The 26,045-nt window shown below is 47.7% G+C and overlaps 1 protein-coding gene across 1 annotated transcript in view, besides 3 other annotated features; it reads left to right on the forward strand.

The window, feature by feature from the left end:
* Positions 1-26,045, forward strand: part of NMT1 (N-myristoyltransferase 1) — a 47,700-nt gene that overhangs the window by 12,026 nt on the left and 9,629 nt on the right. Inside the window, exons 2-7 of the mRNA NM_021079.5 lie at positions 8,302-8,410; positions 13,166-13,310; positions 20,343-20,461; positions 22,852-22,943; positions 23,786-23,902; positions 25,040-25,210. Of these exons, the coding sequence (NP_066565.1) occupies positions 8,302-8,410; positions 13,166-13,310; positions 20,343-20,461; positions 22,852-22,943; positions 23,786-23,902; positions 25,040-25,210 (753 nt within the window). The remainder of the gene's footprint in view (positions 1-8,301; positions 8,411-13,165; positions 13,311-20,342; positions 20,462-22,851; positions 22,944-23,785; positions 23,903-25,039; positions 25,211-26,045) is intronic.
* Positions 17,382-17,883: an enhancer, noted in NCBI's record as "OCT4-NANOG hESC enhancer chr17:43168092-43168593 (GRCh37/hg19 assembly coordinates)". NCBI's record gives its function as "activates a minimal SCP1, AML or CMV promoter by ChIP-STARR-seq in naive H9 embryonic stem cells {active_cell/tissue: H9 hESC(naive)}" and the evidence as "EXISTENCE:reporter gene assay evidence [ECO:0000049][PMID:30033119]".
* Positions 24,786-25,286: an enhancer, noted in NCBI's record as "H3K4me1 hESC enhancer chr17:43175496-43175996 (GRCh37/hg19 assembly coordinates)". NCBI's record gives its function as "activates a minimal SCP1, AML or CMV promoter by ChIP-STARR-seq in naive H9 embryonic stem cells {active_cell/tissue: H9 hESC(naive)}" and the evidence as "EXISTENCE:reporter gene assay evidence [ECO:0000049][PMID:30033119]".
* Positions 25,287-25,787: an enhancer, noted in NCBI's record as "H3K4me1 hESC enhancer chr17:43175997-43176497 (GRCh37/hg19 assembly coordinates)". NCBI's record gives its function as "activates a minimal SCP1, AML or CMV promoter by ChIP-STARR-seq in naive H9 embryonic stem cells {active_cell/tissue: H9 hESC(naive)}" and the evidence as "EXISTENCE:reporter gene assay evidence [ECO:0000049][PMID:30033119]".

The raw sequence follows: 26,045 nt of genomic DNA on the forward strand, positions 1-26,045 counted from the left end.
AGGAGGCGGAGGTTGCAGTGAGCCAAGATCACGCCACTGCACTCCAGCCTGGGCAACAGAGCAAGACTCTGTCTCAAAAAAAAAAAAGATGTAGTCCCTATTCTTAGGAAATTGTTAATGTCATCGGGAAGCCAAGAAAGCAATATATTATTATATATTAAGTGTTTTAGGAGATTATAGTTTTAAAACAGGCAGACATCAGAGAACTAGAATAGTCAGAGCTGACTTTCTGGATAAAACATGACTCACTTTCCTCATTACTTCTAATGCTTGCTCCTCTCAAACACCAAAGCTGTGTTCTATAGCCCAGTGTGAGGAAACAATATTCTCTTGGCTTTGGAGGATTCTCAAATCAATTCTTACAGGGAACGAAGCCATAGCCTTTGGGGGGAAATGGCCCCAAGCCAAGTCTTTAGAGATTGATGGCTCCTCCCTAGATGCTAGTTGGTTGGTTGATAACCAATTTGCCTCACATCTCTGGGCCTTAGTTTCCTCATCTGTAAACAACAAGTTAAGCCAGATGGTTCTGAGATTCCAGTGTTGGAAGCTCAGCTTCCCCTCCCCTATGATAGAGCTTTTTCTTCCCAGGCATGCAGTTTTGAGCGGATTGCATCATCCAGTAAGACTGAGAGGAGGCCCACATATGGACCCTCGCTGCTCCTGTTGTCTAGAAGTTCCTCTTCTCCTGCTGTTCATCTGCCAGCTTACCCTTACCTCCCACCCGCTCACATACCCAGCATTGCGCTCTATTTCTAGAAATAAGTACTGAAGTTAGTTTTCCATCTCCTCCCCAAGGTCTGAATTTATACAGGAGCATCCTTAGGATGTCTTACATCTTTGAACTTGTAACATTTTGGTCTTCATTAAAAGATGACTTTTTTTTTTTTTTTGAGACAGAGTCTCGCTCAGTCGCCCAGGCCGGAGTGCAGTGGCTGGTTCTCTGCTCACTGCAAGCTCCGCCTCCTGGGTTCACGCCATTCTCCTGCCTCAGCCTCCCGAGTAGCTGGGACTACAGGCGCCCACCACCACGCCCAGCTAATTTTTTTGTATTGTTTTTTAGTAGAGACGGGGTTTCACCATGTTAGCCAGGATGGTCGCGATCTCCTGACCTCGTGATCTGCCCACCTCGGCCTCCCAAAGTGCTGGTATTACAGGCGTGAGCCATCGTGCCCGGCCGAGATGACATTTCTTGATTGCTTTTCTGCTCTGTTCCTGGATCTTTTATTCTAATTCACCCTGTATTTGCTAGGTTGGTCATTGATGACTTCTTGAGTTGATCAACTTTAGAATATAAGTCTCACAATTTTTGTATGAACTGCCATCTGCCTTCTGGGGGAGGAGGCACTTCTGTTGCTGCACCAAGGCAAACTTTACTGAATTCTCTACTCTTTATTTTGGAACCAAGTGAAACAAGTTGGACTTTGGTTTGCTGTATTCTAAGATTCTGGTTCTGGCCAATCTCAGTTTGAAATAAGGTGACTGGCAGCTTAGATCTGTGAGAGATTTCTATTTCAGTGTGCCGAATCGCAGCATGCCCTAGGATTCCCACCCAGTGGGTGTGGACTTCAAATCCCTTTAAAAAGGATGCCAGCCAGGCACGGTGGCTCATTCCCATAATCCCAGCACTTTTGGAGGCCAAGGCAGGAGGATTGCTTGAGCCCAGGAGTTTGAGCCCAGCCTAAAATTAGCCAGGCATGGTGGTGCACACCTGTAGCCCCAATTACTCAGGATGCTGAAGCAGGAGGATTGTTTGAGCCAGGAGTTGGAGGCAGGAGCTGGAGGCTGCAGTGAGCCATGATCGTGCCACTGCACTCCAGCCTGGGTGACAGAGCAAGACCCTGTCTCAAAAATGAACAAACAGCCAGGTGCGGTGGCTCACGCCTGTAATCCTAGCATGTTGGGAGGCTGAGGTGAGTGGATCACTTGAGGTCAGGAGTCCAAGACCAGACTGGCCAACATGGTGAAACCCCGTCTCTACTAAAAATATAAAAATTAGCTGGGCCTGATGCTGGGCGCCTGTAATCCCAGCTACTCAGGAGGCCGAGGTGTGAGGATTTGCTTGAACCTGGGAGGTGGAGGTTGCAGTGAGCCGAGATCACACCACTGCACTAGAGGCTGGGCAACAGAGCGAGACTCTTGTCTTAAAAAAAAAAAAATGGCTGGGCGTGGTGGCTCACGCCTGTAATCCCAGCACTTTGGGAGGCCAAGGCTGGCAGATCATGAGGTCAGGAGTTCAAGACCAGCCTGGCCAACATGGTGAAACCCCGTCTCTACTAAAAGTATGAAAAATTAGCCAGGCATGGTGGTAGTCCCAGCTACTCAGGAGGCTGAGGCAGGAGAATCGCTGAACCCAGGAGGCGGAGGTTGCAGTGAGCTGAGAACACGGCACTGCACTCCAGGCTGGCAACAGAGCAAGACTCCGTCTCAAAACAAAACAAAAAAAGAGGCCAGGCACGGTGGCTTACGCCTGTAATCCTAGCACTTTGAGCGGCTGAGGCAGGCAGATCACCTGAAGTCAGGAGTTCAAGACCAGCCTGACCAACATGGCGAGACCTCATCTCTACTAAAAATACACAGATTAGCTGGGTATGGTGGTATGTGCCTGTATTCCCAGCTACCCAGGAGGCTGAGGCAGAAGAATCACTGGAACCTGTGATGAGGAGGCTGCAGTGAGCCAAGATTGTGCCATTGTACTCCAGCCTGGGTGACAGAGCGAGACTCCATCTCAAAAACAAAAAACATGAATCAAGAAACAAACAAAAAATGATGCCAGATTCCTGGAGAAGGATTAGCCTGGCTTCTGTGGGGTCCTCTAGTTTTGTTTTCCCTTAGTCCAAATTGAGGCCATTCTTCTGTGAAGTGGCGTTGGCTTGCTAGGATGCTTTTTGAAGTTCTACTCTCAAGGCCTCTGAGCTTGGTTCCCTATGAATAATTAAAATTATTATAATTACCATGAAAGCTAACTGGAGTGGGCTCCTTGGAAGTCTGGTTTTGCTGAATTGGTTGTCTTCTGTTTGGGGGTGTTGACTGTAAGACTATGTGTACTCATAATGTGTCCTCACGGATGGGGCTCAATACTTGGTAGCTCAGTGAAAATGACTCATTAAAGAAAAAAAAAAAAAAGTGGCCAGGCACGGTGGCTCATGCCTGTAATCCTAGTACTTTGGGAAGCTGAGGCAGGTGAATCACCTGAGGTCAGGAGTTTGAGACCAGACTGACCAACTTGGTGAGACCCTGTCTCTACTAAAAATACAAAAATTAGCTGGGTGTGATGGCACATGCTTATAATCCCAACTACTTGGGAAGCTGAGGCAGGAGAATCCCTTGAACCTAGGAGGCGGAGGCTGCAGTGAGCTGAGATCGTGCCATTGCACTCCAGCCTGGGCAACAAGAGTGAAACTCTGTCTCAAAAAAAAAAAAAGAAAAGAAAAAACAACTTCCCTGTGTTCTTCAGCCGTGTGCTTGATGTACAAGTTGAAACAGGATTTTTGCTCAGTAACTGGCTGCTTGTACAAATTCAAGCCAATATAAAGAAAATGAAATTTGCTCTCTGATTTTAGTTTCGGTCTTGGAGATTTCTAGATACTTGTATTGGCAATGCATAAAGCAGAACAAGAGTTCAGCCCAAGATCCTTCCACAAAAATTGGGTTCATGAGGTGATAGCTACATGGAAGTATCTCCGCTAAATAGGAAGAACAAAGGCAGGAAGGTAGTTTTTACAGTGATTTTGCATATTTGTAAAGACTTTTAAAGTTGGAAGAAGTAATTATTTTCCCCATGTGAAATTATGTTTAGTAAGTATCCAGTTGGTTAATCTACAGCAGTTCTTCACCTTACCTTTTTGATTCTTTCTTTTGTAGAATTATAAAAAGTTATTCTTATGGTAATTCATATTACCATAATTTGTTCCATAAGCTGTTATGGAACCAGCTAATTTGTGGTTATGGACCAGATAATTTGTTCCATAAGCTGTTATGAATAAGAATTTATATTATAAATTGTATCCAACAATGGGACACTGCTTTGTCTCCTAATATCAGCCAGGTCTTGTTTGTTTGTTTTTTGAGATGGAGTTTTGATCTTCTTACCCAGGCTGTAGTATAGTGGTGCAATCTTGGCTTACCACAATCTTCACCTCCCAGGTTCAAGTGATTCTCCTGCCTCAGCCTCCCGAGTAGCTGGGATTACAGGCATGTGCCACCACGCCCGGCTAATTTTGTATTTTTAGTAGAGACAGGGTTTCTCCTTATTGGTCAGGCTGGTCTCGAACTCCCGACCTCAGGTGATCCGCCTGCCTTGGCCTCCCAAAGTGCTGAGATTACAGGCGTGAGCCACCGCACCCAGCCTATGAGCCAGTTTTTAAATCTTATAATGCTTCACGTAATCCTGAGACTGAAGTGAAAATATCTGGAGTAGGAAAACCACAGAGTTGTCCTAGGCTGCAGATGGTCCTGTGTGCAATAACAAAATTGAGTTACTAAGAAGAAGAAGTTATCTTTAGGCCATAAATGACTTTATGGTTTCTGTTGTTTGCCATGGCCTTGGGGGTTTTGCTGAGCATCTGGTTTTAAGGAAGTTACCTTATTTCCCCTTTGAATGTTCTCAGTCTTCCTTCCATGTTAATGCCTTCTGGGTCTCATTAATATCATACCAAGTAGGTGTACTTGCATCTAGACTTCATGACCTTATGCTTGGACTAAAGGAACCTTCAGACTTAACTGGATCTCTCCCTGTCACAGTCTTTCTGCATCAGGGGCACTGAGAGGCCCGGCCAGATGGAAGCTGTGGGAGGCAAGAGTGGACAGCGTAAGTGGGAAATGAGGGTGATAGGCCTAGGGAAAAATTGGGCTTGATACCTTCCAAGTTAAGAAGCCGCTGTTACTCTAGGATTTCAAGCATGGGGGGGACACATGGAAAGCCATTTTCACAGAGGTGAGTCCCACAGCTATATAGAGTTCAGGTGATGCAGAAAGATTGTGAAGGCAAAGAGATCCAGAAAAGGCTGGAGGTAACTTAAGTCCAAGGGTAAGGTCATGAAGTCTGGATGTGAGCATTCCTCCCAGGAACAGGAAGAGATAGGAGAATCTGAAGACATTCTGTGAAGAGAATTGGCAGCATGTGATTTCAGATCACTTTCTCCCTGTATATATATATATACACAGTATCTGTCTGTGAGATGATAGTAATATTCATAATAACTCCGAGGCATTTTGAGACCCTGAAGTCTTTCTGAATTATAAATTGTATTTAACATAATGTTAATGGAAAATTGTATTTTATATTGTTTTAATTCTTGGGGGTTTTGGTGTTTTTTTGTTTGTTTGTTTGTTTGTTTTGAGACAGTGTCTGGCTGTATTGCCCAGGCTGGAGTATAGTTGTGCGATTTTAGCTCACTGCAGGCTCCTCCTCCCAGGCTTCAAGCCAACCTCTCAACTCAGCCTCCCCAGTAGTTGGGACTACAAGTGTGCACCACCACACCTGGCTAATTTTTGGATTTGTGTTAGAGACGGGGTTTCGCCATGTTGCCCAGGCTGGTCTCAAACTCCTGAGCTCAAGTGATCCGCCTGCCTTTTCCTCCCAAAGTGTTGGGATTACAGGCATGACCCACCATGCTGGACCTTTCAATTATTTGAAAATTGATTGTCTAAAATATACAGTTAAAATTACCTCTGTGTTTAGCTGATTCTACAGATTAGGATTCACTGTACTCAGGTTGGACTCCTAATTTTGACTTTTCTTTTTTTCTTTTCTTTTCTTTTTCTTTTTTTTTTTTTCCCCAAGATGGAGTCTTGCTCTGTCGCCCAGAGCTGGAGTGCAATGGCATGATATTGGCTCACTGCAACCACAGCCTCCCGGGTTCAAGCAGTTCTCCTGCCTCAGCCTCCCAAGTAGCTGGGATTACAGGCGCATGCCTCCACGCCTGGCTAATTTTGTATTTTTAGTAGAGACGGGGTTTCACCATGTGGGTCAGGCTGGTCTCGAACTCCTGACCTCATGATCTGTCTGCCGCGGCTTCCCAAAGTGCTGGGATTACAGGCATAAGCCACCGCGCCCAGCCAATTTTGACTTTTCAGTGTGGCTAAGAGGCTGAGCATGGTGGCTCACACCTGTAATCCCAGCACTTTGGGAGTTCAAGGCAGCAGGATCACTCAAACCTAGAATTTGAGACCAGCCTGGGTAACATAGGGAGACCCCTGTCTCTATTTTTTAATTTAATAAAACATTAATGAGGCTAAGAAACTTTTTGCTTCATTCATGGGGTGTGTCATGTAGGGGAAAGCAGCACAAGGAAGTCCCCTTGATCACGTGCACACATGCACACGTGCATACACACAGACATGTTTCTTTTATTTATTTATTTATTTTTATTTTTTGAGACGGAGTCTCGCTCTGTCGCCCAGGCTGGAGTGCAGTGGCGCAATCTCGGCTCACTGCAAGCTCCGCCTCCCAGGTTCACGCCATTCTCCTACCTCAGCCTCCCAAGTAGCTGGGACTATAGGCGCCTGCCACCACGCCTGGCTAATTTTTTGTATTTTTAGTAGAGACGGTGTTTTACCATTTAGCCAGAATGGTCTCAATCTCCTGACCTAGTGATCCGCCCGCCTCGGCCTCCCAAAATACTGGGATTACAGGCGTGAGCCACTGCGCCCGGCCACATGTTTCTTGTAATCTCTCCATGGCAGGAGTAACTGGGTGCTATTGTTGTTTTAGTTTCCCAAGATTCCTAATGCTGGGTTTTGCCAGTGGTGATCCCTCAGTCTGAGCTTGCCGACAGTTGTCCTCAATCCTGCAGATCTGGTTTAGGCATTTCTTTTTTTTTTCCCTTTTTTTTTTGAGACGGAGTTTCGCTCTTGTTTCCCAGGCTGGAGTGCCGTGGCGCGATCTTGGCTCACAACAACCTCTGCCTCCTGGGTTCAAGCGATTCTCCTGCCTTAGCCTCCCGAGTAGCTGGGATTACAGGCATGCGCCACCATGCCCGGCTTATTTTGTATTTTTAGTAGAGACAGGCTTTCTCCATGTTGGTCAGGCTGGTCTCGAACTCTGCACCTCAGGTGATCCGCCTGCCTTGGCCTCCCAAAGTGCTGAGATTACAGGTGTGAGCCACCACACCCAGCCTTTTCCTTTTTTTTTTTTTTTTTTTTTGAGACAGAGTCTCGCTTTGTCACCCAGGCTGAAATGCAGTGGCATGATCTCGGCTCACTGCAAGCTCTACCTCCCAGGTTCACACCATTCTCCTGCCTCAGCCTCCCGAGTAGCTGGGACTACAGGCGCCCGCCACCGTGCCCGGCTAATTTTTTTGTATTTTTAGTAGAGATGGGGTTTCAACATGTTAGCCAGGATGGTCTTGATCTCCTGACCTCATGATCTGCCCGCCTCGGCCTCCCAAAGTGCTGAGATTACAGGTGTGAGCCACCGCGCATTGCTGCCTTTTCCTTTTTTTGAGACGAGGTCTGTCTCTGTCATACAGGCTGGAGTGCAATGACGTGATCTCAACTCACTGCAACCTCCACCTCCCGGGTTCAAGCAGTTCTCCTGCCTCGTCCTCCTGAGTAGCTGGGACTACAGGCATGTGCCACCAGGCCCCAGCTAATGTTTATATTTTTAGTAGAAACAGGGTTTTGCCATGTTGGCCAGTCTGGCCTTAAACTCCTGACCTCAAGTGATCCACCTGCCTCGGCCTCCCAAAGTGTTGGGATTACAGGTGTGAGCTACCACGCCTGGCTGATTTGGGCATTTCTCATGACTGACCATTTTGGACACAGATTGTGGCAATGTTAATGTGCCTTTTTCCTCATCCCTCACTCCCTTTTCATACTGTCTTGTGCTCCAGATCCAGCTGGGGAAAATCATGAAACCTAATACATTTGGGAGGTGGAGGAAGGAAGGGCAAAGCATTCCAGAAAGCCCATCACTGCCTTTTGGCTGTCATCCTTTTACATTCAGAGTTCAAGGAAGTATTGTGGTATGAATGCCTTGTTAACAATTATCATTCGTCTTTGGTGCCATTACCCTGGCAATATAAAGAAAATAAGCAACATAAAAGCAAGAACGGAAAAGGCCCTTTCACACAAATAGGACATCCCTTGCCCAGCACTCCCTCCCTGAAAGCCGAGGGGGCGCGAGTCAGGAGGAGTGCTGGTGTCCTCCAAATGCCCTTTCTGGACCTGGGTTCTTCAGCCTGCTTCTGAAGCCAACAGGCTTGATTAAGGAAGGTCTGGCTCCACAGAAAGCTCTTTGTCAGGGGTAGCACAAAACAGATTTTTTTTAAACCCTGCATTAGTATTTACTTTTTGTTACAGTGGTTTGAGTCCAGCCAATGACACTGGAGCCAAAAAGAAGAAAAAGAAACAAAAAAAGAAGAAAGAAAAAGGCAGTGAGACAGATTCAGCCCAGGATCAGCCTGTGAAGGTAACAAGGAGGTTCTGTTTTTTGTGACTCAGTCACTTTTTCACATGAGAGAGTTTTGAGGTGAATGTATAGGATCAACTTGGATTGACGTTCTCCACTGGTATTACTTCAAGATGGAAGAGTTGGATCCCAGTGCTGTCCTCTGCTGCCCTAGACCTAGGTGATGAAACTGCTCTCAGTACCCTAAAAGACACAGCAGGTCAGACACTGACTCCCAAGCATGGTGCCCATCAGAATGGACAGGTGCGTACTGCATGTGCTGCTGTGCCAGTGCCCTGGGGAGCTACGTGTGACAGCCCCTGGCGCCTAGAGCAGTGGTTCTCTGTCTTAAGTCCCCACCGCTCTGACAATGAAAGGCCCCCCCTTTCTTTTTGAGACAGAGTCTTACTCTGTTGCCCAGGCTAGAGTGTAGTTCATGATTATAGCTCACTGCAGCCTCCACTCCTGGGCTCAAGTGATCCTCCCACCTCAGCCTCCCAAGTAGCTGGGACTGCAGGTGCATGCCACCACACCTGTCCAGTTTTTTTTTTTTTTTAATTTTTTGTAAAGATGGAGTCTCACTATGTTACCCAAGCTGGGTCTTGAACTCCTGGGCTCAAGCAATCCTCCTGCCCTAGCCTCCCAAAGTGCTGGGATTACAAGCGTGAGCCACTGCATTCAGCCAAAGACTTCTTCTTAAGACCTTTATATATTTGCAAACATTCTCTTAATGCCATAGTCATTATAATGAAAGCCATGAGTCCCACAGAGTCTTTCTGAGTTCTACTCCATGAGAACCACTGGCCTAAAGGCTTACAACCTGAGAGTGATGCACTGGCATGAAACCCAGAGATATGGGTAAGGATTGTTTTGTTTCTTAAATAAAACAACATTACAAAATAAAACAATTGCAGGTAAGTGTTGTCTTCTTCAAAGTAGGCTGACAGAGGCAGGGGGACAACTCAAACATATTCATAATTCACCTTTTAAAACTGCCTCTGAGACCTGGGGTGGTGGTTTATGCCTGTAATACCAGCACTTTGGGAGGCCAAGGCGGGTGGATCACCTGAGGTCAGGAGTTCAAGACCACCCTGGCCAACATGGTAAAACCCTGTCTCTGCTAAAAATATAAAAAATTAGTTGGGCGTGGTGGCAGGCGCCTGTAATCCCAGCTACTTGGGAGGACAAGGCAGGAGAATCGCTTGAACCCAGGAGGCAGAGGTTGAAGTGAGCTGAGATCACGCCACTGCACTCCAGCCTGGGCAACAGAGTGAGACTCTGTCTCAAAAAATAAAAATTAAGTGGCCAGGCATGGTGGCTCACGCTTGTAATCTCAGCACTTTGGGAGGCCAAGGCGGGTGGATCACGAGGTCAGGAATTTGAGACCAGCCTGGCCAACATGGTGAAACCCTGCCTCTACTGAAGATACAAAAAAAAATTAGCCAGGCGTGGTGGCACGCACCTGTAATCTCAGCTACTCAGGAGGCTGAGACAGGAGAATCACTTGAACCCAGGCGGCAGAGGTTGCAGTGAGCCGAGATCACGCCATTGCACTTCAGCCTGGGCGAAAGGGTGAGACTTTGTCTCAAAAAAAAAAAAAAATTAAAAAAAAATTTAAAAAAAGGAACAGCCTCTGAAACAGTTTATAAGCCTCGCAAAAATCCATATTCATTCCAATATACCCACACTTTGCTGTATGCCTCAAATGTTATGCCTCAGCTTGAATCTGCTACCTTATTGAGATATGACTTCAAGTAATTTTTTTACTATTTCCAATATAAAACCCGCTATGAAAAAATACCATTATTATTTAATACCATGTTGCACTTCATTTAAATTAGCTCCAAACCATCACCATCCCTACAAGGTAGGTAGGGGTCTTCCCTTTTTATTCATTTAATTTATTTTTGAGACTCTGTCATTCAGGTTGGAGTGCAGAAGTACGAACATGGCTGACCGCAGCCTCAACCTCCTGGGCTCAAGCAATCTTCCCACCTCAGCCTCCCGAGTAGCCAGGACTACAGGTGTGCACCACGACACCCAGCTAATTTTTTTATTATTTGTAGACATGGGGTCTCCCTGCATTACTCAGGTTGATCTCTAACTCAGGCTCAAGAGATCTGCCTGCCATGGCCTCCTAAATTGCTGAGATTACAGGAGTGAGCCATCACACATGGCCGAGAATTTATTTAATAAACTGCAAGGGGAAGAAAATTAAAATGCCACTTCCCAGGCCTAAGCAATATGAACATACTGGTTTATATTCTTTCTTTCCTTTATAATCTAAGTGAAAAACAGAAAACTAAATAAAAATATTAGAAGAAAATGTATGTAGTTTTATTAATCTAAGTCTGACATAGGACCCAGAAGCCATAAAACAGAAATTGACAAATTTAAAACTTTGTAGAAGTCAAAAGATAAACAATAATCTGGGAAAATATTTGCAACATATGTATTAGTTTAAAATAATTGAATGAATAGGCAGTTCAGAAAGAAAAAATGTGTAATCAGTAAATAATAAGATGGTTAAAGTCATAATGGAAGAAATGACCATTAAAGCAATAATTATTTCTCTTAGATTGGCATAGATTAAGGCTTGGTAAACTTTTTTTTTTTTTTGCGAGACGGAGTCTCGCTCTGTCGCCCAGGCTAGAGTGCAGTGGCGCAGTCTTGGCTCACTGCCAGCTCCACCTCCTGGGTTCACGCCATTCTCCTGCCTCAGCCTCCCGAGTAGCTGGGACTACAGCCGCCCGTGACCACACTGGCTAATTTTTTGTATTTTTAGTAGGGACGGGGTTTCACTGTGTTAGCCAGGATGGTCTCGATCTCCTGACCTCGTGATCCACCCGCCTCGACCTCCCAAAGTGCTAGGATTACAGGCGTGAGCCACCGCGCCCGGCCACTTTTTTTTTTTTAATAGGGACAGGGGTCTCACTATATTGCCCAGGCTGGCCTTGAACTCCTGGGCTTAAGCAGTCCTCCCGCCTCAGCCTCCCAAAGTGCTGGGATTACAGGTGTGAGCCACCAAGCTCAGCTGAGGCTTGGTAAATCTAATGGTGAGGGTCAGGAGCTACTCTCATACACTGTTCGTTGGATTACTGATAGTCTCTTTTTAGAGAGCAAATTGATGATAAATCATTTCAAAAGTGCATACCTTTTGACCCAGCAGGCCTCTTTCTTAACTTCATCCTACAGAAATATATATCCCAGTGGGTAAAAATAGATGTATAAGAAAATTTATGCTGGGTGTGGTGGCCTGTAATCCCAGCATTTTGGGAGGCTGAGTTGGGCAGATCGCTTGAGCCCAGGAGTTCGAGGCCAGCCCAGGCAACATAGTGAGACCCCGTCTCGACAAAAAAACAAACAAAAAAATTACCTGGGCCTGGTGGCACACGCCTATAGTTCCAGCTACTCAAGAGGCTGAAGTGGGAGAATCCCTTCAGCCCATGAGGTTGAAGCCGCAGTAAGCCATGATTGTGCCACTGCACTCCAGCCTGGGCAACAGAGCGAGACCCTGTCTCAAAAAAAAAAGAAATTCACTGCAACATTGTTGTATTACTAAAGAACAAAATCACCAAAATGCCCATGAGTAGGGGGCTGGCTAAATATACTGTGGTCCATACATACAGTGGACTTGGTAGAATGGGTAGGTCCAGGTGTTTTCACCTGGAAAGGTCTCTAAGACAGTCTTTAAAGAGCAGTTTGTACGATAATATTATATGATCCAATTTTAGTTTTTGAAAAGTGTGTGTGCATTTGGAACTTGTATGCAAAAAAGTCTGGAATTATATTTGCCTCTTCTCACCTTCCCAAGTGAAGACTATTGATCACAAAGATTATATTTGGGGGATGGGATTGTGGGTGTTTACTTTCTATGTGTCTTACACATTTCTGCATTGTTTGAAATTTACATTGAGCATGTATTACTTTTGCCATCAAACAACATAAGACTAATAAGGGGAGAAACCCTGCGGGCAGCACCCACCCATCATATAGCTCATTGTCAACCACTTTTTCTCTGGTTGTAATGACCTCTGGGATTAGGACAGAGGAACCAAACCCCTTCTTTGAATTGTACCCTTTAACTCTTTTTTTTTTTTTCTTTTTTGAGATGGATTCTTGCTCTGTCACCCAGGCTGGAGTGCAGTGGTGTGATCTTAGCTTACTGCAACATCTGCCTCCCAGGTTCAAGCAATTCTCGTGTCTCAGCCTCCTGAGTAGCTGGGATTACAGGGACACGCCGCCATGCCTGGCTAATTTTTTGTATTTTAGTAGAGACAGGGTTTCACCATGTTGCCCAGGCTGGTCTTGAACTCCTGAGCTCAGGCAATCCACCTCCCTCGGCCTCCCAAAGTGCTGGGATTACAGGCATGAGCCACTGCGCCCAGCACTCTTTTTTTTTTTTTTTTTGAGACGGAGTCTAGCTTTGTCGCCCAGGCTGGAGTGCAATGGCGCCATCTCGGTTCACTGCATCCTCTGCCTCCCAGGTTCAAGTGATTCTCCTGCCTCAGCCTCCCAAAATAGCTAGGATTACAGGTGCCCGCCACCACGCCTGGCTAATTTTTGTATTTTTAGTAGAGACAGGGTTTCACCATGTTGGTCAGGTGGGTCTCGAACTCCTAACCTCAAGTGATCTGCCCGCCTTGGCCTCCCAAAATGTTGGGATTACAGGCATGAGCCACTGCACCCAGCTCCCCTTAACTCTTGAACTCATAATTAATCAAAAGTCTTACTAACATAATGGGCCTTTTTTCTCCCCAACTTTGTCTTGTCCAGATGAACTCTTTGCCAGCAGAGAGGATCCAGGAAATACAGAAGGCCATTGAGCTGTTCTCAGTGGGTCAGGGACCTGCCAAAACCATGGAGGAGGCTAGCAAGCGAAGCTACCAGTTCTGGGATACGCAGCCCGTCCCCAAGCTGGGTATGTACATGCTTGCTTTCTTTGCCAGGTCAGGGGCGAGGGATCTGCCTCAGCTGTGCCTTCATGAGGGTTTCATGCTGAATTACTGTAGGGAGGGCAGTAGAGTCCTGGAGTTCCTTGGTAGTTGTTTTCAGAGGGTGGTTTTTAAAAATGCAGCATAAAGACTATCATTCAGAGACCTTACCATTTTATAGCAGCACACCTTGAGAACAAATAATGATTCTTGCCAACAGCACTGGCTCACACCTATAATCTCAGCACTTTGGGAGGCCGAGGTGGGAGGATTGTTTGAGCCCAAAAGTTCGAGACCAGCCTGGGCAACATAGACCTTGTTTCCACAAAAAGTAAAAAAAAAAAAAATAGCCAGGCATAGTGACATGCACCTGTAGTCCCAGCTACTCAGGAGGCTGAGGTGGGAAGATCACTTGAACCTGGGAGGTCAAGGCGGCAGTGAGCTGAGATCACGCCACCGCACTCCAGCCTATGTGACAGGAGTGAGACCCCCAACTCAAAAAACGAACAAACCAAAAAACCCAAAAAAAAAACAAAACAAAACTATTGGCACATGAAGAGTGGGAATGTCTGCCCAGAGGTCTTTTTTCCACTTAGGTTTATAGAGACTTTGTCTTGTTTGTCTGGGCACATGTTTATTCCTGGAATGGGCAAAGTCCCCAGCCTCTTCCCCTTTGTCTCCTAGCCAATGCATGCTTACTAAATGCAAAGTGGTTTGAGATTTTGCTTAGCAGTGATGGTTCAACAACAGGAATACTATATATAGATTTCATTAGCACCCCTTAAAAAAGCTATAATGAATTGCTAAAGGGGTGGAATAGGCAGAATATCTAAAAGGATTCTGGAAGGGACTGGATCCTGTTAGACGTGCCTGCCAAGACTGAGCCAAGCCAACCTTGATGGCTGACTTCAGGACTCAGCTGACAAAGTTTCTGAAGTGGTTGTAACATGATTCTGGACCCATTGGTGGCCTAGTTCCTGTTTTCTTTGTGACTGGGAAAGTAAGTATGTTGAAAAAAACATATTCCAACACCAAATGTAAATGACTTTCAGCTTGTCCACATTACTGCTCCCCTCCAGAAACACAATGAGACTTCACTAGTATGTTCGGTGCAGAGGAGGAGGGTGGGGCAGGGCCAGACAGGGTAGGGCTAAAGACTGGTGAGGTGAGGAAGGCAGCTGTGCCCAAGGAGATTTGTTTGCTGCAGAGGTTGGGAGCAGCTAATCCATGAGGCCTGCAGACCTGCAGGATGGGCATTGCCTAATTGCTAGTAGAAATGCAGTTTGTCGGGCCCCACCCCAAAGCTGCAGAATCAGAACTGCCAGAGGATTTCTGTCCACTTTGAAAGTTTGAGAAGCTCTGCTCTAGAGCGGATGCAGTTCTTAGAAGCTTGGTCACAATAGAAGCAAGCTGAGGAGGTGCATCCCCACGGGTGAGGGAGAGCAGAGCACTGCCCAGGTGGACAAGAGGGGTGCTGATTCCCCCATCACCGTGTGTGTTTGGCTGCCCTCATCGGCCAGGTCCCAGGCCCACTGGCTAAGCCCTCCAGCAAGGCTTTGGGCCACAGGGTAGGGTCCCAGTGACCAGTTTCTCGCTGAGGAGCAGGAAAGATGCAGAGAGCCACACATCTCACCTCTGAATGAAATCCCTGATGAGGTGTTGTGTGGTGGCTGCCATGTATCTTGGCTCTGTTTTCAGATGGCATTTTGGAGTTTTGGTTTGATTTTATTTTTCCTGAGGAATTTGCAAATGAGTAACCTTGCTACATTCTTCACAGATAGTGGCACTTGGGAAAGAGGCAGATTGAGGCTGGGCGCAGTGGCTCACGCCTGTAATCCCAGCACTTTGGGAGGTCGAGGCAGGCGGATGACCTGAGGTCAGGAGTTCGAGACCAGCCTGGCCAACATGGTAAAACCTCGTCTCTACTAAAAATACAAAAACTAGCTGGGCTGGTGGCATGGGCCTGTGATCCCAGCTACTTGAGAGTCTGAGGTGGGAGAATCACTTGAACCTAGGAGACAGAGGTTGCAGTAAGCTGAGATCGCACCACTGCACTCCAGCCTGGGCAGCAGAGCAAGAATGCATCTCAAAAATGAATTTAAAAAAAAAAAAAAAGAGGCAGCTTGGGATTAATTTGCTTCTGTTCCTCTTCAGCCCAGCATACTTTGTTTTCCTTTCACCTGTAAATGTAGAAAGTGCTTCAGTTTAGTTCTCAGAAAGCTCAAGAGAAAACCACACAGTTGCTCATACGGGCCCTGACACTTTGAGGAAGGAGGAACAAGGTCTGGTTTTATTTCTTCTGGCTTTGCCTTCTGTGCAGTGTGTGGTGTCGGACTCCATGGAAGAGCAGTCACCCTGAGCATCTGACTAGTCTGCCTTTGAGGTCCAGGGTCAGTCAAGCCCCAGTTAGATTCCTGTGTTTGTGTCAGCCTGTAAAAAGTGCCACCTTGGCAGGCGTGTTAGCCTGCATGGCTGAGGCGTCACCCTAGTTCTGAGTTTTCTCAGGGGTGGTGGTACCTACAGCTTCTTGCCCTAATTTTTTTTTCACTTAATTGGAGGACTAATGATTATAAATCTCGTGCATATCAGCTGCACTGTGTTTTTACAGTACTCTCCACCTTCTTGGGAGAGTTTTAATTAGATGGTATTCCACTAAAGAAACCTACAAGTCTCTCTGATTTATTTATTTATTTATGAGACAGAGTCTCACTCTGTCGCCCAGGCTGGAGTGCAGTGGCGTTTTCTCGGCTCACTGCAACCTCTGCCTCCCAGGTTCAAGCAGTTCTCTGCCTCAGCCTCCCGAGTAGTTGGGATTACAGGTGCCCACCACCACGCCCGGCTAATTTTTGTATTTTTAGTAGAGACAGGGTTTCACCATCTTGGCCAGGCTGGTCTTGAACTCCTGACCTCGTGATCCACGTGCCTTGGCCTCCCAAAGTGCTAGGATTACAGGCATGAGCTACCGCACCCGGCCCTCTCTTTTATTTTCTTGAGACAGGATCTCGCTCTGCTGCCCAGGCTGGAGTGCAGTGGTATGATCATGGCTCACTGCAGCCTTGATCTCCTGGGCTCAAGCAATCCTCCCACCTTAGCCTCCTGAGTAGCTGGGACTACAGGTGCCTGCCACATGCCTGGCTAATTTTTAAATTTTTTGTGGAGACATGGTTTCACTATGTTGACCAGGCTGGTCTCAAACTCCTAGGCTCAAGCTGTCCTCCTGTCTTAGCCTCCCAAAGTGCTGGGATTATAGGCGTGAGCCACTGCACCTGACTGAGACCTGCAATTCTTTAGAAGCTTAAAATTATCCTAGGTTTACCATGGAAAGGCCTTCTTAGGCCGGGTGTAGTGGCTCAATGCCTGTAATCCCAGCACTTTGGGAGGCCAAGGCAGGAGGATTGCTTGAGCCCAGCAGCTCAAGACCAGCCTGGACAACAGGGAAAGACCTCGTCTCTACAAAAAAATTTAAAAATTAGCCAGACATGGTAGCACATGCCTATGGTCCCAGTTTCTCAGGAGACTGAGGTGGGAGGATCGTTTGAGTCCTGGAGGTCGAGGCTGTAGTGAGCCATGATCGTGCCACTGCACTCTAGCCTGGGTGACAAAGCGAGTCCCTGTCTCAAAGATTAAAAAATAAATAAATAAAAATGAAAGGCCTTCTTAGCAGAAGTGTTTTAGTCTGTGTAACAACTGTAAGAGCCGCAGATGAACTTTTGATCCCCCACTCGAGATCATGTCGTTCTTCTTTTTAAAGTCACCCCTTTCCCACTCATGTCAACGGAAGCAGTATCCTTTTCTGTCTTTGGTCAGTGGAATGCAGTGTGGCCACTCTGTTTTAAAAAGTCACTATCAAAGGGAGGATGTGCACTCACCTGGTTTCCATGGGTCCCAGAGAGAAGCTTCCCCTCTCTTTTTCCTCTCCTTGGCCTTTGTTTGGTTTAATGTTTTCCGCATCTCAGACATTCTCATTTCTCCGAAGTCCTTCACAGTTGCACCGCATTGCTTAGTTTTGGGTCTCTGATGTTTGATGTCATGGAGAGAATTTTGAGGGAAGAGTGTGCAGAAAGAAACCCATTGAAAGCTCAGGGTTTTCTTTAAACTTCCAGATTCTTTTAAAGCAAGTTCGAAGTGTCATCCTTAGTCATTTATTGGTTCATGTTGGCCTTGAGAGAATCAGCTGCATTCTTGCTGTGCTCTGCAGAGCAGCCTTCCACCCCTGCTCAGCAGGAGGTACTCAAAGGCCATTGTAAGGGAGAAGGCAGGCTGCTCCCCACAGAGCAGGACAAGCAGAGGCCATGATGCTGGCACCACACCGAGGACAGCACAGGAGCCTTGGGCTGCTTCTTGGCATCGAGGGCACTCCACAGTGGGAGTCTAGTAAAAGTGGCTGCTCCCTTTTCAGTGTTTCCTGTAGCTCTACTTTTTCACACCCACCCTGCCCCACATAGTCCACCTGCAGCCTGGCTGATTCCTAATTATCCTTGAGGTCTTGTCGTTAGATATTTCCTCTGAGAGGTCTTTCCTGACACACACACACACACACACACACACACACACACACACACACACACACACGTCCCATAGCACCCTGTACTTCATTCTTACTGGCCCTCACCATGCCGGGTGGCATGTGCATCCTTGCTCATCTCTTTGGTGTCCATGATGGTGAGGACCTGTGTCTGTTTCATTCGCCAGCCCCTGCCACAGAACTGGCACATTCTAGGATTCAGTGAACACTTGGTGAAGGAGTGAGTGAATGGAAGTGCCTGTTGCGTGTAGGACCTAGTAGCCAGCCTAAATGAGAAGATTTAGCCTTGAGGTTATTTTAGTACAATAGGGAAGACCATCAGTATTCTTGGCCATGGAAATAATTCAGGGGGAAAAAAAGAAGGTTCTGAAGTGTATAGGAAAAGGTATAAATTCAATACAAGTTGGGAAATTAGCACCTAGATAAGACTAGAGGGTCTGGCCCTCAGTTTTGTAGGCTCAAAAATGTTTTTTTAATATACATAGCTGTCAGTTGGAAGCGGATTGACTTAAATTCACAAGAGCTACTTTATGAATAATCAAATGGTGGGTTTTGGCTGGGCGCCGTGGCTCATGCTATAATCCCAGCATTTTGGGAGGCCAAGGCAGGAGGATCACTTGAGTCTAGGAGTTTGAGACCAGCCTGGGCAACAGTGAGACCTCATCTCTATGAAAAATAAAATTAGCCAGGCGTAGTGGCGCATGCCTATAGTCCCAACCACTCGAGAGGCTGAGATGGGAGGATCGTTTGGGCCTAGGAGGTCGAGGCTGTAGTGAACCAAGGTTACGCCACTGCATTCCAGCCTGGGCAACAGAGCAAGACCCCATCTCGCCAGTCATGAGTTTCCTAACTAGGGAAGAAAAATATGACCTCTCTCCCAAGCAAACCTGTTGGGAAGCCTGATTACCAACAGAGCAGGCTGCTTCCCTGTTGTGTGTCCCTGCACTTTCCAGATCCTGACCTGCAGCACGTGGATAATGACTCATTTATTTACTATTTCCCCAGAAGATGGTATGTCTCATGAGGACAGGGACTTGGTCCTTTTTCCTGCTGTACACTAGGGGCTGGCATGGTCACTGAGTCACTGGTGCACGGTTGGTGCTCAGTAATGTGTCTGATGGAAGAGGGTGAGATGATCAGTGCCAGCGGTGGTGTCGTGTGCTGCAGCCTGATGCAGCCCTTTCCACCACACTTGCCCCACAGATTATCATTCTGGGAAGGTCTAGAGCTTCCTGTTACATGTTAGAATGAAATGTTTGGACTTTGGGAGGCCGAGGCGGGTGGATCACTTGAGGCCAGGGGTTTGAAACCAGCCTGGCCAACATGGTGAAACTCCATCTCTACTGAAAAAAAAAAAACAAAACACCAAAATTAGCCAGCGTGGTGGCGGACACCTGTAATTCCAGCCACTCGGGAGTCTGAGGCAGGAGAATTGCTTGAACCAGGGAGGTGAAGGTTGCAGTGAGCCAAGATCGCACCACTGTACTCCAACCTGGGCGACAGAATGAGACTGTCTCAAAAAAAAAAAAAAGAAAAGAAAAGAAAAAAAAAATATTTGGGATCAGGAGTCTGAAAGTCAGTAAAAGCATGAATTGAGTGCCTAGTCTATACAGAGCCCTTTGCTAGGAACACTGTTACTGGGTTGGTCCCTTTTGAAGACTCCATTTTCCAAAATGCACTAAACATTGCATTCTTCCCAGTGTAAACATGAGTGAGCCCATTGTAGAACCGAAATCATCCCAAGGGCCAGAATTCAGTGGTGAATCTCTCAGCATATATGAGTCCGATTGAGCTCTGGATAGGAATGAGGGCTGTGTCTTTGGAGCACTCCCCACATGCTCCCACAGAGGAGGGGCCTATCCTGCTCAGGGAGGGGATGTTGTGTCAGGGTGACTTCCCGGCAGCACTATGTAGACTTGGTGATTCAGCCCAAAGGCACTTGCAGGACTCTAAACACTGAGGGCCTGAGTTGGCAGTAGCAGTTAACTGGCTCACGCTGCTGAAAGCCAAGGCTGGCAGGGCCACGATTGAGCCTGGCGCCTAGAAGCCATCATCTGGTTCAGAAATGGGCCCAGTACATTGTTGTTGCTGTTGACACAAAAGCAGCCTTGTTGTGACTCCTTACAAACCCATCCAGACTGATGGGCCTGGGCCAGGGCCCTGACAGCACTCTTTACACCAACCAGGAGGCAGGAAGCCAAATTACTAAAGATAAATGTTTGTCATTCAGTGACCCAAGGGAGATTTAAATGGATTTCCAAAACACGAACCACCTTGGATCCCAGTGATTGTCCTGAGGTTTTGCCATGAATTGGCCCTCAGTTAGGGGCTAAGGGTAGCTGGAAAGACGGTTTGCAGTTGCCAAGCACAGAATGTTCTTCAGATAGAGGGCTCCTAGGGACAGGAGGAATTTGCTCTGGTTGAGTTTTGAACTGAGCCCTTTACTGCCCCGAGGGGGCAAAGGGTGAGGCTCACAGCTGTGCTCTTCTTTCAGGCGAAGTGGTGAACACCCATGGCCCCGTGGAGCCTGACAAGGACAATATCCGCCAGGAGCCCTACACCCTGCCCCAGGGCTTCACCTGGGATGCTTTGGACCTGGGCGATCGTGGTGTGGTGAGTGGGCCCTCAGAAGGTTACACCTGCGGGTAGGAGCCACTTTCACAGTAAGCCCTGCAGTCTCACCTAGACTACGTTTACTCGAGCCCTAGAGAGCTGAGCCAAGGAGGTCTGAACAGACTCCCGTCTGTAACTTCCTGGGGCATGGCCAAGACTCCACATAAATAGCTCTTAGCTTTTCTGGCAGGTTGGAAGTTAACCTCTGTAGGTCCCCGATGTGGATACCTGTTTTTCATTTATTCTTTTTTGTTCATTCATTTCCTCATTTTCTTTCTAGTCTGTCTCCTGACTGGAGCAGCTGGGGCTGCTAAATGAGGCCCTGTCCTCCCCTTTCCACCCCGGCCACCCAGAGCCCCTTGTTTTGACCTGAGGGATTTATTTCCCTTATAAAGAATGATGAAAATGTCGCCGGGCGTGGTGGCTCACACCTGTAATCCCACCGTTTTGGGAGGCTGAGGCAGGCGGATCATGAGGTCAGGAGTTTGAGACCAGTCTGACCAACATAATAAAACCCCATTTCTACTAAAAATACAAAAAATTAGCCAGGTGTGGTGGTGTACGCCTGTATCCCAGCTACTCAGGAGGCTGAGGCAGGAGAATCTCGTGAACCTGGGAGGGGGATGTTGTAGTGAACTGAGATCTCACCATTGCACTCCAGCCCAGGTGACAGTGCGAGACTCTTTGTCTCAAAAAAAAAAAAAAGTCAACAGAATTTTTTTTTTTTTTGAGATGGAGTCTCGCTCTGTTGCCCAGGCTGGAGTGCAGTGACACCATCTCAGTTCACTGCAGTCTCTGCCTCCTGGGTTCAAGCGATTCTCCTGCCTCAGCCTCCCGAGTAGCTGGGATTACAGGTGAGTGCCACCACGCCCAGCTAATTTTTATATTTTTAGAAAAGATGGTGTTTCACCATGTTGGCCAGGCTGGTTTCGAACTCCTGACCTCAGGTGATCTGCCCATCTTGGCCTCCCAAAGTGCTGGGATTACAGGCAATGAGCCACTAGGCCTGGCTTTTTTTTTTTTTTTTGAGACAGAGTCTGGTTCTGTTGCCCAGGCTGGAGTGCAGTGGCGCGATCTTGGCTTACCCCAACCTCCACCTTCCAGGTTCAAGTGATTCTCCTGCCTCAGCCTCCCAGGTAGCTGAGATTACAACCATCTGTCACCATGCATGGATAATTTTTGTATTTTTAGTAGAGATGGGGTTTCACTGTGTTGGCCAGTCTGGTCTCGAACTCCTGACCTCATGATCCACCCATCTCGGCCTCCCAAAGTGCTGGGATTACAGGCATGAGCCACTGCGCCCAGTCTTTTTTTTTTTTTTGAGATGGAGTCTTGCTCTGTTGCTCAGACTGGAGTGCAATGGCACAATCTTGGCTCACTGCAACGTCCACCTCCTGTGTTCAAGCAATTCTCCTGCCTCAGCCTCCCCAGTGGCTGGGATTACAGGTGTCTGTCACCACGCCAGGCTAATTTTTTTATTTTTTAGTAGAGATGGGGTTTCACCACATTGGCCAGGCTGGTCTTAAACTTCTGACCTCAGGTGATCCGCCCACCTCAGCCTCCCAAAGTGCTGGGATTACAGGCTTGAGCCACCACACCGGGCCAACAGAATTTTTTAATACCAAAGTTGGGCCAGCAGATGGAGATAGCTGAGAAGGCAGAAAAAGGCCTTTGTGGTTGGGTGTGGTGGCTCACACCTGTAATTCCAACAATTTGGGAGTCTAAGGTGGGAAGATCGATTGAGCCCAGGAGTTCAAAATCAATCAGCCGGGTCAATATAGTGAGACTGCCCCCGCTACAAAAGAAAAAAATTTAATAATTAGCCGGACATGGTAGTATGCCCCAGTAGTCTCAGCTACCCAGGAGGCTGAAGTAGGAGGATCGCTTGAAACCAGGAGTTGGAGGCTGCAGTGAGCCATGATCACACCAGTGCACTCCAGCCTGGGTAACAGAGTGAGACTCTATCTTGAAAAGAAAGGAAAAAAGGCCTTTGTTTGGGCCAGATGGTAAAAAATCAGACAAGGTGGGAAACAGCAGTGACTCTCCGTGGTAATTCCTTGACTAGCTTCGAGAGTCGTCCCTCTATAGCACTTCACAGAAGTTGAGACCAGTGGCTCTCCATTGTTGATGGCGCAGAATGATGAAGTGGTTGGTTAGTTAGGTGGCATTCTCGGTCTGCCACTCTACCACGTGATGGCTCAGTTTTCTACTATAACTAGGGTGTTTGCTCCAAGAGTTCCTACCATGCCAGGGGGCAGAAGGATTTGTGAGACTCCACGTCGTTTTTGGTAGTTTGCTTCATCCTTCTGAAAAGCCTAGAGCCCCAGGGTATTGGAGTTGGTCTACTACCTGGCAGAATACCTCCAAGTGAGCTGCTTATTTCTTTACAGCTAAAAGAACTGTACACCCTCCTGAATGAGAACTATGTGGAAGATGATGACAACATGTTCCGATTTGATTATTCCCCGGAGTTTCTTTTGTGGTAAGTTGTGGGGGCTTTCTTGAGGTTCTTGAGAGGAAGGCATAGAGCAGATCCACCAGAGGGCACCAGAGTTTTCATCCCTGCCAGGGGCCAACCTTTGAATGGCAAATTAGTGTGTCATTTTTGAGTTCCTGCATCTGAAGGACACTTGCTTTCATTAGCACTTAGAATTGCAGCCTTGTTTAAGACAATTGACTGGGTGAGGGAGACCTTCGTAGAGCTAGTACCCAGGGAAGAGGTATTCATTGTCTGGTGACTTTATATAAGAAAGGAACGGGCATGAGACCTACTAAGACTGAAAGAAAAGAAGGCACATTTTCTATCTAGTTCCTGAGCATGCTCAGTTGTATAGCCTTGCCTGGCTGAGCCATCCACCTGCCCAGGCCACGTTTAATATCCAGGAAGAGAGAGGCATGGGCCGAAATGGAGAGGGACTACCTGAAAGGGAAGGAAGAATTTGTACCAGAAAGAGGGAGACAGGACACCAGAGCTCCAGGGTTGCCACAGTCAGCTCTCAACCATGGGACCCACTGGCCTCCGAACCAAAGATGCCAGTACCTTGGTTCAAGCTGTCAAAGTGAACACAGAAATTGGATCAGGCATGAAATCCTCAGTATGATAACCTTGGGTTGGATGAGTAACTAGGCCAAATGGGATGAGCAGCCAGAAATGGTGATGGCTCGATTCTGTGTGTCCAGGAGGGCTTGGCCCTAAAGAGAATCCAGCTATTAACCCTCAGGGAGGTGGTAGCACCAGGTCCGAACCAAATTTGGCTGTGGAGCCCAAGCGGCTTGTCCAGCCTGCCGGCAAGCAGCACAACCACCCCAGCCTCTCTTTTCCAGGGCTCTCCGGCCACCCGGCTGGCTCCCCCAGTGGCACTGTGGGGTTCGAGTGGTCTCAAGTCGGAAATTGGTTGGGTTCATTAGCGCCATCCCAGCAAACATCCATATCTATGACACGTAAGCACCTGCACCTACCCCCACCCCCCACAACACCGCCATCCTGCTTGGTCTGGGAGAGAGTAGAAAAAGGCTGCACAATGTGCCCCATGAAAGGAAGAGGGAAGGTCTCAGGAAGGGAGGATGCCCAGGTGCGGGGACTGCAGATTCATCCTAGGAACCACCTGTTCTGCTCAGAGTCCCAGCCAGCTCCCTTGTTTGTGGCCCAGGTTGGAAGGAGCCCACCCTGAGGCCTGGTGTGCCTGCTCAGCAGAGGCTTGTTTTTGTTTTTGTTTATTATTTTTTACATTTTATAGAGGCAAGGTCTTGCTATGTTGCCCACGCTAGTCTCAAACTCCTGAGCTCAAGTGATCCACTCACCTCTGCCTCCCAAGAGTGTTGGGAATATAGACGTGAGCCATTGTGCCTGGCCAGAGGCTTTTCTTAGTCTCACTCTGTTGCCCGGGCTGGAGTGCAGTGGTGCGATCTTGGTTCACTGCAAGCTCCACCTCCAGGGTTCAAACGATTCTCCTGCCTCAGCCTCCCAAGTAGCTGGGATTACAGGCATGCGCCACCACACCTGGCTAATCAGAGGCTCATTTTTGAACGCCTGTACCAGTCACACATGGAAGCACTTGAACAGCAGCAGAAATGGGCCAGAGCGAGTGTGACCCAGATTCAGATAGTCCTTGGGGCCTGTGATCTCTGCTCTTCATTTTCCCTGGAAGTGTTGAAACCATCTGCCTGCCACAGTCTTCAGGGCTTATTACCAGCTGTGTTCTTGAGGGAATCAGAACCCTTGAAACCCTAGAATTGCCTTGACCTGCCCCGTGGGTTCCCTGTGCTGCTTCCCTGCATGCTAAAGGTGGGATTCCCCAGCCAACTCCTAGGGACTCATCAGGGAGATGCTGGTGGTACCTTCAAATAAAGGTGTTTGCTTGGGTCCCACCTTCCTTTGGAAATAGATTCTGTTGAAGTGAGGCAGGCTCCTTGCCTGGTGGAGTGTGGTGGGGAGTCCCAGTACTGAGTGCAGGTGGCAGCTAAAAGTACACCCGTGCTGCAGACCTGGTCCTTCTAGGTGTGGCTGCACGTGCTTGATGGGATCACCATTCCCTTCCCTGTTAAAAACCTTGTCACCTGGATTTTTCCCCCTCTTAGAGAGAAGAAGATGGTAGAGATCAACTTCCTGTGTGTCCACAAGAAGCTGCGTTCCAAGAGGGTTGCTCCAGTTCTGATCCGAGAGATCACCAGGCGGGTTCACCTGGAGGGCATCTTCCAAGCAGTTTACACTGCCGGGGTGGTACTACCAAAGCCCGTTGGCACCTGCAGGTAAAACTGTCTTCCTGTAAGGCCCCAAAAATGCGGGTGTCTGCACTGTAGTTGAGGAGCATGTGCCACTGTGAGTCACAGCTCCGCCCTTAGCATCCCACCTCTGGCGTATCTGGTAAGGCGGGCACTTGGTGCCTGCAGGAGCCAGATGGGGAGCATGGAGAGGGCGGGAGGGTTGTAGGGATGGCAGATTGGCAAGTCCCTGCCTTGTCTGGAGGGCTCTTGGTGTCTGCTGGCTGCTGCCATTTGGAGATGGTGGGGGGCGGTACTGGTGGTTTGTTTTTGTTTTTAGGGATGAGCCCAAATCTGGATTTTTATGGGAAATGTCCTAAAGTTTTAAATGGTTGGCTCAAATTGTTTTGAATATTGTGTGCACCAAATAGAGCAAGTCAGCTATGTGATCTAAGGGCAACCTCTGCCTTAGAAAGTTGTTTAAAACAATTGAATAATCTCTCCTTAGAGAACTTTAAAAGTAAAAACACCAGGTGTGAAAGCAGAAGGGGAGGAGGGAGGAGGGTGAGTGCCTCTGCCATCATCTTCTGGGCATGACTACAGTCCTTTTCCGTTGACTTGATTCTAGGAGTGAGGATTGGTCTCCCCAGACAACCGCTGTAGCAAAGGAATAGTTTTTGAAATTGAGCAAGAAAAATAGGGAGAAAGAAAATCCAGGAGGAGCTTTGGCAGCACTCACTGTGGGGAGGGGGAGGCTGGAGAGCAGGGTGACACCACTGACTCCGGAGGCACCTGATGTGTCTCTCACGCCACCTGCTGGCCAGCTGGGGTCTCCCTGCCATTGTCCTTGTAATAGGGATTGGCCAGAACCCTGAGGACAGGA

Source organism: Homo sapiens, chromosome 17 (genome assembly GCF_000001405.40).
Source record: "Homo sapiens chromosome 17, GRCh38.p14 Primary Assembly".
NCBI lineage: Eukaryota > Metazoa > Chordata > Mammalia > Primates > Hominidae > Homo > Homo sapiens.